Below are 12,021 nucleotides of genomic sequence, written 5' to 3' on the forward strand. Positions count from 1 at the left end.
CCCAAAGTGCTGGGATTATAGGTGTGAGCCACTGCGCCTTGCCAGAAACAAGTTTTTCTGATCATACTTTAGCTTCATGAGAGCTTTATCAACTTGAGAGATAAGGAAAAATAGAAGACTAGCACAAATAAAATATGGGTAGAAAAATTCAGATATCTTTTGAGCCCAATAACTTCTTCAAATAAAGGTTTAAGGACACACCATAATGCCTGGCATATTACAGGCACCTAGTAAATATCTGGTGGATGAGGATAACTTTGAGGCTTACCTTTTTTTTTTTTTTTTAAGGGACAGGGTTTCACTTTGATACCCAGGCTGGAGTGCAGTGGCATGATCATAGCTCACTACCACCTCGAATTCCTAGACTCAAGCAATCCTCTTGCCTCAGCCTCCCGAGTAGCTGGGACCACAGGTGTGTGCCACCATGCCTAGCTAATTTTTTTTTTTTTGGTAGAGATGGGGTGTATTAGTATTTTCTCACGCTGCTAATAAAGACATACTGGAGACTGGGTAATTTATAAATGCAAAAGTTTTCATTGACTCACCTTTCACATAGCTTTCTCTCTCTCCCCCACTCCCTACACGGCCTCCCCGCTTTCTCTCTCTCTCTCTCCCCAACACCCCGCAAGGCCTCCCCACCCCAGCTCCCCACAGGGCCTCCCCGCTTTCTCTCTCCCCCACTCCCGCTTTCTTTCCTTCCTCCCCTTCTTCTTTTGTTAAATATCGTCTTTCTTTAAGGCTCACACTAGGAAGCGCTGGTGTTGCAGAAACACGGGAAGGCAGGAAATGAGTTTGGGAACAAATAAGTAAATAAAATCTGGGGAAAGCACACATCTAAAGCACTCTTCACCCTTCACAGTTTATCTGGGGAAACTTCATATTTCAAACGTATTTTGTGAAGTGGGCCTGACAAAGCAGACACACACACCGGATGTGCTACGCGACGGCTCTTCCCCTGCCTCCGACAACAGGGAGTTCATCTCAGGACACGACAACTCATTGCTGACGATGGGAGCAACATGATGGTCTATCAAGAGGAAAAAGGCAAGCGTCATCCACAGCCGGCCTGGCCGCTGACAGCCAGGCACCGTCACATCCACCTGGCCTGGAGAACCAGGCTCAGAAACCCACCGTGCAGCCTCCGAGAGGCCACCCCCTCCACCTTCCCAGTGACACAGCCAAAGCCACCACCAGGAGCCTGATGCTCAGACACACAGTTCGGCCTGCTGTGTGCTGCCTTCCGTGTCTAAGAGGCTGCCTCTTCATCAGCTCCCCATCACAGCTAACGAAACCTCTTTGGAATTAGCTCCCAATCCTTAACTGTACCAAAATGGAACAATACAGGAAACGAGAAGTGTCATTAAACGGGGACTAGAACACTGTGTCCCTGAGTCCCACAACCAGGACCACAACAGAGTGTTTGTTCCTAAAGGTTCCTGATCATACTCAGACCTTATAAGTGAGCTGCTCATTAAAAGCGGGACCTGTCACCGATACAGACATTAACTAAAGCATTATTCCATGAGAGGCAGGGTAAAAGGATTTCCGTGGCTCTTGACAAACCCACTAACGCAGACCCGGCCCAGTGTCCCAGCGCTCTTCCTCTGACTTGCCGTTTCCCACTGTCTGCAATTGTAACTCGAGTGCTTTGGGCTGCCTTGCGGAACTCAGCTTCATTTGTTAACCTCCCTACGGAGCTGAGGCCTGCACTGCATCAGAGACAAGCGTGAAGTTCCAGGACGACAGGAATAAAACCTAGAACCTGCCATCCAGGAGTTTACCAGGGAAATGATCACAGAAATTAACACCTGAAACAGGCCTGACACAGCCAGACAGAAGCTAGGGAGGAATTGAGGCGGGAGCATAAATCACCAGGATGCTTTAATGTTCAAAAGAAGCCGGAGGGGGGAAAAGGAATCTATTTGGGGATTTAGGCAAAGTTTGGGAGAAACTGATCTTTTTCTATAGTGGTCAAATTCATAGAAAGAGAAAACAGAACGGTGGTTGCCCAGAGAAGGGGGTAAGGACTGGGAACCACGTTCAACATGTAGAGAGTTTCCAATGGGGGAGAGGAAAGCACTCCGGCCCATGGTGATGGCTGCACGACAACGTGAATATAATTAATGCCACCAAACTGTACAGTTAAAACTGGTCCACATTGCAAATTGTATGTTATGTCTATTTGACAATTTTTAAAATCCAAACAAAAACCATGACCCAACTTCTTACAATCCAACTATATCACACTATCTTAGGAGGCATCAAATGCAGACGCAGCTCACCGGTATAATCTATAGAACAGCATTACTTGGTGACCCCAACTGCTACTTGCTTCTGGAGTAAGCCTGCACCCCCGGTTGCTATGGAGAATCTGCAGACCACCACAATTAAAACGTCCAATAAATTTCTCTTTCTCAAAAAAGTAACACCTTAAAAGATATTCAGAAACAGAAACAGAAACACACACACACACACACACACACACACACACACACACAACCATATACATAAATTGCACAGAACACTTCATATTAACTTAGAAAAGAAATCCATCCTGCTCTGTTGTATAGGATTGGTGACGTCCTCTAAATGAGCCAAAATCCAATCCACATCAGAAATAACACTTTCTGTATCTCAGGCAAAAGACACTACATTCTGTGGACTGTAACGTAACAAAGGATTAAATCTGAAAGCAACTGGCCAAGCGTTCTCACAATGGCCTTCTAACCTAATTGTTTTAGTTATTAAATCTATCCTCAAAATATTTTTGTCACTAATACCATATGGCATGATGTATAACTAAGGCCCTTCCAATAGACTCAGCCACTAAAAAGAAAAAAAAAGAAAATACCTCAAAGGAAGGACAAACACTTCTTTAACAAATATTTTACTGGCTAGTACAAAGTATCAGGCAGCACAGAAAAACTGAAGTACTTAATATTTCCACCCATCTTAACTCAGTTCCAACAGTTTTTAAAATCTTAAATCATTTGTAAATTAAATATTGCCTTGAAGTAATAAAACGCTGTAAAATATGTTAATTGAGTCATAAAAGCCTACTTTCCTGCATAATTATGTTTTACTTTTCTCCTCACTGATTTCTTTACACTAGAATTAGCTAGGATTCTCTCTGGATACAATAGTAATACTTGGCTCCTGCAAGAGTTTTACAGATAGTAAAAGCCCACAGCTGACCGCAAAATTTCTAGACTGGCTTGCCTAAGAAAATCAACACTCATGGGTCTTCATGGCAGAGCCACACCACCAAACTTCAAGGCAACTTTTGGAGAATGTTTTATTTATCTTGCATCATATGAGCAAATTAAAATGAGGCAGAAGAATGAAGAATCACTGGAAATGAGATGTAATGAGATATCAGGATAAGGCTGGGCACAGTGGCTCAAACCTGTAACTCCAGCACTTGGGAAGGCTGAGGCGGGAGGATCACTGAGCTCAGGAGTTCAAGGATGCAGTGAGCTATGATCATGCCACTGCATTACAGCCTAGGTGACACAGGGAGACCCTGTCTCAATCAATCAATCAATCAATCAATCAATCAATCAGAGAGATCCGGATAGTGAATGACTAGGGAACTAACATTGGGGGAACTGAGGGAGTAATCAAATGAAAAATGTAACAAATTTATGAGAAGGTTAACAGGGAAAGGCCACTGAGTTTCACACTAAGAGAACTGCTGGAGACCAGAACATGCAATTTTAGCAGAACAGCTGAGAGAAAACTGAGGATCAGGAATAAAGTGCGTGAAGACAGAACAGAGACAGAGGGTATTCAATGAGAAAAACTCAGAGAACCAAGCCAGGCAACGTACCATTAGACCCAACTATTTACAGTATCAACTGTTGGAGTACTTTCTGTCACCAGTAAGATTTAACCCAATGAAAAGAATAAAATAGCCCATTTCTTTTCATTGATATGATGCACCATGACTTACTGTGTGCACTGACTTAATATGTACAGTGATTTAATGAGGGAGTGTCTCTATTCCTGAGAGAATCTTTCATAAAACTGTGGTTTAGATGAAAGCTTACAAGGATGCAAAATGCCATGGTAGTCAAATGTCCTACTAAACGTATGGATATCTGTTCAAAGCCGCTGCTATTAGGCCCAAAGATAGAAAACGTAGGCTGCTCCCCTGCATGAGGACAGGGTTTCTTTGCAAGAGCATCATTTCATTCTATTCCAAGGTTCCACCTTGATATGGTTTGGATCTGTGTCCCCACCCAAATTTCATGTACAATTGTAATCCTCAGTGTTGAAGGCAGAGCCCAGTGAGAAGTGACTGGATCGTGCAGGCAGTTTCTAATGGTTTAACGCCATCCTCCTTGGTCTTGTCATGGTAAAAGTGAGTTATCATGAGATCTGGTTGTTTAAAAGTGTGCGGCACCTCCCCCTTCTCTCTCTTCCTCTTTCTCCAGCCCACGTAAGACATGCCTGCTTCCCCTTCGCCTTCCACCATGATTGTAAGTTTCCTGAGTCCTCCCAAGCCATGCTTCCTGTACATCCTGTGGAATCGTGAGCCAATTACACCTCTTTTCTTTATAAATTACCCAGTCCTGGGTATTTCTTTGTAGCAGTGTGAGAATGGATAATAACACAGGCACCCAAGACCATAAGAGCTCCTGTTCCATCTTCTATCAGGCCCTCTGTACCTGCCCTGGAATCAACTGAAGACGAAAATGGCAGATTCAGTCTATAACACTTGGACCACAATGAGTCATGTTTCCAGTTCAATTCAAATTAATCTTCAAATACTTTCTGGAGCACCAATCCTTGCCAGCCTGGCCCCCAAAACACAGCTTGTCCTCACCTCACAGCAAACTCTGCTGCACATCTGCTAACTCAGAGCTTTTCACTGAGGTCTTTAACACTTTGATGTCTCCACTATCCATGCTAACCCAGCCCTCCACACATGTGACCTCCTAAACCAAACCAACAGCTCTCATTGTCTTCCACGGTACAGAAATGACAGTAGCTAAGGGGAAAAATAACAATAAGTTGCCTTGTCCTGCTCTGGGCTAACCAGTGAGGAAATTCACCAAGAGGGAAAATCAATTCATCTCACACAGACCACATTTGCCCTAAGAGAATCACTTCTGCCATACCTCAAAAAATAAGTAAAATGTGCATGAACTTCACTGGAATTACAATTGACCCTGTAAAACTGAAATTCTAGTTTTTCCACTGAATCCCCCAAAAGTCAAATATCTGCATATAAATTTTGACTCCCCCAAAATTTAACTACCAAAACACTACTGTTGACCTGAAGCCTTACTGATAGCAGTTGATGAACACATATTTTGTATGTTCTATGTATTATGTGCGGTACTCTTATCGTCAAGTATGCTAGAGAAAAGAAAATGCTATTAAGAAAATCATAAGGAAGCAAAAATATATTTAGTATTCATTAAGCGGAAGTGGATCATCATAAAGGTCTTCACCCTTATCATCTTCACACTACATAGGTGAGGAGGAGTAGGAAGCGGAGTTGGTCTTGCTGTCTCAGGGGTGGCAGAAGCAGAAGAAAACCCATGTATAAATGACTCACGTATAAATGACTCACGTAGTTCAAACTCGTGTTGTTCAAGGGTTAACTGAAGTTGTTTTCAAGATGCTCACATCTTCTTCTAAGTCTGCTCCATCCCCATTCCCCAGCGGACACATCCTCCCTAAGTCAGTCCTGCATGCAGTCTGCACTCTTCCCAGGTTATTTTGTCTCTCAATGTTACAACCAACAGGCTCTTCAGGGTAATGTCTGCTGTTCAGGTACAGGACGCTTGCTTAATTTCAAATCTTCTATTTAAAACTGAATTGGCGGCCAGGCACAGCGGCTCACACCTGTAATCCTACCACTTTGGGAGGCTGAGGTGGGCAGATCATCTGAGGTCAGGAGTTCGAGACCAGCCTGGCCAACACGGCAAAACCCCGTCTCTACTAAAAATACAAAAATTAGCCAGGCATGATGACAGGTACCTGTAGTCCCAGCTACTCAGGAGGCTGAGGCAGAAGAATCACTTGAACCCGGGAGGCGGAGGTTGCAGTGAGCAGAGATCACGCCACTGCACTCCAGCTTAGGCAACAAAGCGAGACTCCATCTCGATGAATAAATAAATAAATGAATAAATAAATAAATATTGGCTTTTTAATGAAAACAAATAAGTTTCGATAAAACTGAATTGGCTTTTTGCTTCACACTTACTCAAATCAATTCCACACAAAGGAGTTGGATGCTTTGTAACTTCTCTTTAGGGCAAAAATAAATGGATATGTTCTTAACATCAGAAAAATGCTAAGAGCTGAAGATACTTCTTTTCTTCCTATTTTGAAACAACTATAATTTGACTTCGGAATAAAATTTCTTTCATCAGAAATGTATGTTTTGATAGGTGCACTGCATAGGATTCTAATAGCTCTAAAATCTGCTTCAATTCAGAGCTGTGATCTTCATCACCCCTAAGCCTTATATCTTACTCTCCACAAATTAGACTGCATCCTTAAAAGGCATCCGCTGACAGATTTCACAGGGACTGAAGTGGGCTGGGAACTGCATTCCATGGCATCTGAGCTTCCCTTAGACAGGCCAACTTCGTCATTCAGAGCAAGCACTGAATAAATCTCCTCCAACTTACATGAATGTAACCCACTTCATGACTGTCAGAGGGAAGAAATAAGCCTTTGAGAATCCTCTGTTCTAACAGGGCTCCCCTCATGATAATGCCTAGACCGGTGGCCAGAGTTCCCACAGCCGAGGCTCCAGGTACAGATGCTAAATGCTGGCCCAGAGGGTCAGCAGGATGAGCTAGTTTCTAAGTGAAAGACTCTCATTACGCAAATGAGTGCTTAGGGCCTTAACACTAACCAATTCACACAGGTCTGACGGGGCATGAGTGTGCAAGTGAAAGCCATGCAGGTTCCTGAGACAGCCACAGTCGGTGGGGATCCATCAGGGGCCGGCCTCAATCCCAGCATTTTGGGATTTGTTACGCTTGTATGTTCTATGCATTATGTACAGTATTCTTACCAACAAGTAAGCTAGAGAAAAGACATGCTATTCAGAAAATCAAAAGGAAGCGAAAATATATTTAGCATTCATTCAGTGGAAGCGGATGATCGTAAAGGTCTTCATCCTCTCATCTTCATGCTGAGTAGGTGAGGAGGAGGAGGAGGAGTTGGTCTTGCTGTCTCGTGGGTGGCAGAGGCAAAGAAAAGCCACGTATAAGTGACTCACACACTTCAAATTCGTGTTGTTCAAGGGTCAACTGTAGTTGTTTTTAAGATGCTTCACATCTGCTTCTAAGTCTGCTCCATCCCCATTCCCCAGCTAACACAACCTTTCTAAGTCAGTCCTGCATGCACTCTGCACTCTTCCCAGGTTATTTTGTCTCTCAATGTTACAACCAACAGGCTCAAGCAAAGCAGGAGGATGGCTTGAGCCCAGGAAGTGGAGGCTGCAGTGAGCCATGATGATCCTGCCAAAGCACTCCAGCCCGGGCAACAGAACAAGAACCTATCTCAAAAAAAAAAAAAAAAAAAAATACTGCAAAACAATAGCTTCTGAGTATCACTAGATGAGGTGTCACGTCCTTAGGAGCCCGTCTGTGACCTCAGCTTGAAGAGAGCAGATGGGAGCACACTGCCAACCAGTGCGAGGTCCCAGCAGTCATTGACTTAAAAAAAAAAAAAAAAAGCTAGAAAATTAACAAACAAAGTAACTGGGACAGAAACTGCAGGGATTCTTTGGGGTACACAGAAACTAAAGGCATGTCTGGGGAAGAGCATGACTTGATTTAACAATCACTCCAGCTGAAAAACAAAGCCCATGCAGATAACCAGGAGCACTCTATAGAACCAAATGCCAGTTTCAAAGCACCCAGGACAGAACAAGCTCATCTTTTCTGCAGCGTGAAATGTGAAGCAGCAGAGGGCACCTCCATGTTTTCTACTCCTAATATGTCTCTACAGAAAAGCCATTACAAAGAGTACTCCAGTATTAGCATGGAATCAATTCACCTAAGGCAATCAGTGAACTTCCTCGGGCCTCATGGCCATCCAAGCTCGTATCAGGGGCAGAGCGGGAACGTTCCTGTTGTGGACACTAAGGATTAGTGCTCACTTGACTGGACATCTGAAAATGCAAAATATGGGGCAGCTACAGCTATTCAGTAACACAAAGCCATTTTCACCACCACAGTCAAACCCAAACCTACTACATTTAAATCTAACGTTCATTCTGGTTCTACTAAGGGAAGAGAAATGCAAATTTTCCGTTCCCAAGACATCATTTAAAATATAAAAAGTATTCCTTTTTCTTGTTTTGCTTTTGTTTGGAGAGGAAGAGGGGTGCTGATCTAATTTTGGTTTTTATTCATTCAACAAATTTTTGAGGAGATAGAAGAAGATACATTGCATTTAACTTCCCCTAGAAGGGTATTTTTTAAATCCATTTTTGGCTCCACGTTGTAGAAATCATTTCGTAAACAAAGACCCTCTTTAAATACCAGAGCTTGGCAATTATTCTACACACACATGTGCAGAATTATCTTTTACAGACACATACTAAAATATTTACAGATGAAATGAAATGATGTCTAAGAGTTCCTTCAAAGCAATAGAGTCTGGAAAACGAGGGTGGTAATATTGATTAAACAAGGATGGCTTTGAACAGCTCATGGCTGAAGTCGGGTAACGAGCATATGAAGTTCACTATATATTCTGTCTACTATTGGTTATGTTTGAGTTTCCCATAATAAAAAGTTTTCAAAGCAGAATGGAGGGGCATTTTGCCATTCTTTTAGCAAAAGGAAAGGTGCCAACCAGAGCAAATAGTTATTTGAGCTCCAGTTTTTAGTTGAGTGTGCCAATGAAGAGTTGAGAAGTTGAAGACCTTCATTAATTCCTTTTTCCTTCTTAAATCTACTTGGTCCGCAGCTCACTGCCTCATTAAAAAAAAAAAAAAAAAGTTACCATGTGTTCATTGTGAAGGCTCCAAGGTCTCCAAGTGAAACAACCCAAATACCAGCGAATTGGATAGTACTAAAGAGAACTCCAGTATATATGTGTCTGTTATGACAAGCAAACAGGGATATTACGTGAGTTTAGAGCACATTTATTGACCTACTGCCAATATGTTAAGCACACATAAGCATACATGCCTGTGCAAATTTGACTCGTAAACTGAATGGATGGGGGAACCAGAATATCCTTCTAGAAGGGACGGAGAGCCTACAGAATTTAGGAATTGCACTGGAGTGAGTCTTTTTTTTTTTTTTTTTTTTTTTTTTTTTTGAGACAGAGTCTCGCTCTGTCGCCCAGGCTGGAGTGCAGTGGTGCAATCTCGGCTCACTGCAAACTCCGCCTCCCGGGTTCATGCCATTCTCCTGCCTCAGCCTCCCGAGCAGCTGGGACTACAGGCACCCGCCACCGCGCCCAGCTAATATTTTTGAATTTTTAATAGAGACAGGGTTTCACCATGGTCTCGATCTCCTGACTTTGTGATCCGCCCGCCTCTGCCTCCCAAAGTGCTGGGATTACAGGCGTGAGCCACCACGCCCGGCCTGGAGTGAGTCTTTCAATCACCAAAGGAAGTTTATTTACCTAACTCCATTATTAAAAAATATAATCACTCGTGTCCATATTTCCTTTGTTTTACCCAAAACTATCAGGAAACAACTGGGAAATGAGCCAAAACATAAACCACTTTGATTCAAAAATTGTCGAAAGCAATGTTACTAACATTTCCACATCTTTTGAAGAATTTTATTAGATTTTTTTGTGGGGAGAAGGAGGAGATACATATGTGTCAGGGTGTCAGAGTAATTTGATGTACAGATAATTTTGTCACCCAGATAATTAGCCTAGTACCTGATAGGTAGTTTTTTAATCCTTACTTTCTTTCCACCATCCACTCTCAAGTAGGCCCCCGTGTCTATGATTCCCATCTTTATGTCCATTTGTACTCACTATTTAGTTCCCACTTCTAAGTGAGAGCATGCAGCATCTGGTTTTCTGTTCCTGCATTAGTTTGCTTAGGATGGCCTCCAGGGACATACATCCATGTTGCTGCAAAGGACATGATCTTGCTTTTTTTTTTTAATGGCTGCGTAGTATTCCATGGTGTATGTGTAACACATTTCCTTTATCCAGTCTGCTGTTGATGGGCATTGAGGTTGATTCCATGCCTTTGCTATTATGAATAGTGCTGTGGTGAACACACACGTGCATGTGTCTTTAAGGTAGAATGATTTCTATTCCTTTGGGTATTGCCCATAAGGGACTGTTGAGTTGAATGGTAGTTCTAACTTAAGTGCTTTCAGAAATCTCCAGAGTGCTTTCCACAGTGGCTGAACTAAGTTACATTCCCACCAGCAGTGTTTAAGCATTCTCTTTTCTCCACAACCTCGCCAGCATCTGTTATTTTGTGAATTTCTTAGAATAGCCACTCTGACTGGTGTGAGATGGTGTCTCGTTGTGGTTTTGATTTGCATTTCCCTAATAATTAATGATATTGAGCATTTTTCCATATGCTTGTTGGCCATGTGTATGTTTTCTTTCAAGAAGTGTCTATTCATGTCCTTTGCCCATTTTTTTAGAAGCCTTTCTACACAAGAAAACCATACTGATGTTGGTGGAATAAGGTGATGGTTCTAACTTAGAAGCAAACCGTTAAGACCATGGGGACTTTGGGTTTGAGGGGGCAGAAAATGTGACGTTATCACTACAACATCTTCAATGGCTGTTCTGTTCCTCCAAGAATCTTGGCATGGTTGTTGGATAACATCTCCTGAGAGTTTAGATGAGATGAGAAGAGAAAATATTCATCCCTAATATTATTCTCTTCCACTGGCCCAAAGATCATAGGCCAATTCACAATTATTCATATGCTCTGAAAGATACCACAGTAAGCTATAATTTGACTGAAGTAGTCAGGGGCTTTTTCGTGCCTTCCTGGTTTAATCTCTTGTCCTATTTGTGCATGCACAAGTCAGCTTCCTAGGGGAAGAGAGGAAATATTTTTTCTGTCTTTTCATATCCCTAACACTGAAGTATTAGGCATTTTTGCATTTCATGGGTTAGGAAGGTGAGTTCCGTGTGGGTGGACAACTGATATGGTTTGGCTGTGTCCCCAACCAAATCTCACCTAAAATTATGATAATCCCCATGTGTCAAGGGTGGGGCCAGGTGGAGACCATTGAATCATGGGGGCAGTTCTCCTCATACTGGTATCCTGATAGTGAGTAAGTCTCACAAGATCTGATGGTTTTATAAAGGGAAGTTGCCCTGCACAAGCTCTCTTGCCTGCCACCATGTAAGACGTGCCTTTCTCCTCCTTTGCCTTCTGCCATAATTGTGAGGCTTCCCCAGCTATGTGGAATTGTGAGTCCATTAAACCCTTTTTTTCTATATATATTATCCAGTCTTGGATATGTCTTTATTAGCAGCATGAGAACTGACTAATACAACCACCATGCAAGAAGAGAGGGAATCAAGAAAGTTCTCATTTGGCTGTTCTGTCTATAATTTATCCCTATTTTTTAAGAGCTATGGGCCAGGCGCGGTGGCTCATGCCTGTAATCCCAGCACTTTGGGAGGCCAAGAAGGGTGGATCATGAGGTCAGGAGATCGAGACCACAGTGAAAACCTGTCCCTACTAAAAATACACACAAAAAAATTAGCCGGGCACAGTGGCGGGTGCCTGTAGTCCCAGCTACTTGGGAGGCTGAGGCAAGAGAATGGTGTGAACCCAGGAGACGGAGCTTGCAGTGAGCCGAGATTGCGCCACTGCACTCCAGCCTGGGCGACAGAGCGAGACTCTGTCTCAAAAAAAAAAAAAAAAAAAAAAGAGCTGTGGCACATGGATAAAGATGATACAAGAGAGTTGTAATGTGATTTCAGGCAATCAGGAGAAAAAGGAGACAAACAAGGAAAGTGAAAGAACCCTGACAGGGCTTCACAGAGAGATGGAGCCAGGAACCTCCGTGGAGGGAACAGAAACCACCACAGAAT

The 12,021-nt window shown here is 42.8% G+C and overlaps 1 protein-coding gene across 9 annotated transcripts in view, besides 2 other annotated features; it reads right to left on the minus strand.

Moving 5' to 3' along the window:
• The window catches only part of SFMBT2 (Scm like with four mbt domains 2), a 252,867-nt gene that overhangs the window by 174,500 nt on the left and 66,346 nt on the right, over positions 1-12,021 (minus strand). The window lies entirely within an intron of this gene.
• Positions 4,601-4,650: an enhancer, noted in NCBI's record as "active region_2973". NCBI's record gives its function as "activates an Ori minimal core promoter by ATAC-STARR-seq in GM12878 lymphoblastoid cells {active_cell/tissue: GM12878}" and the evidence as "EXISTENCE:reporter gene assay evidence [ECO:0000049][PMID:35858748]".
• Positions 4,801-4,900: an enhancer, noted in NCBI's record as "active region_2974". NCBI's record gives its function as "activates an Ori minimal core promoter by ATAC-STARR-seq in GM12878 lymphoblastoid cells {active_cell/tissue: GM12878}" and the evidence as "EXISTENCE:reporter gene assay evidence [ECO:0000049][PMID:35858748]".

Source organism: Homo sapiens, chromosome 10 (assembly GCF_000001405.40).
Source record: "Homo sapiens chromosome 10, GRCh38.p14 Primary Assembly".
Taxonomy (NCBI): domain Eukaryota; kingdom Metazoa; phylum Chordata; class Mammalia; order Primates; family Hominidae; genus Homo; species Homo sapiens.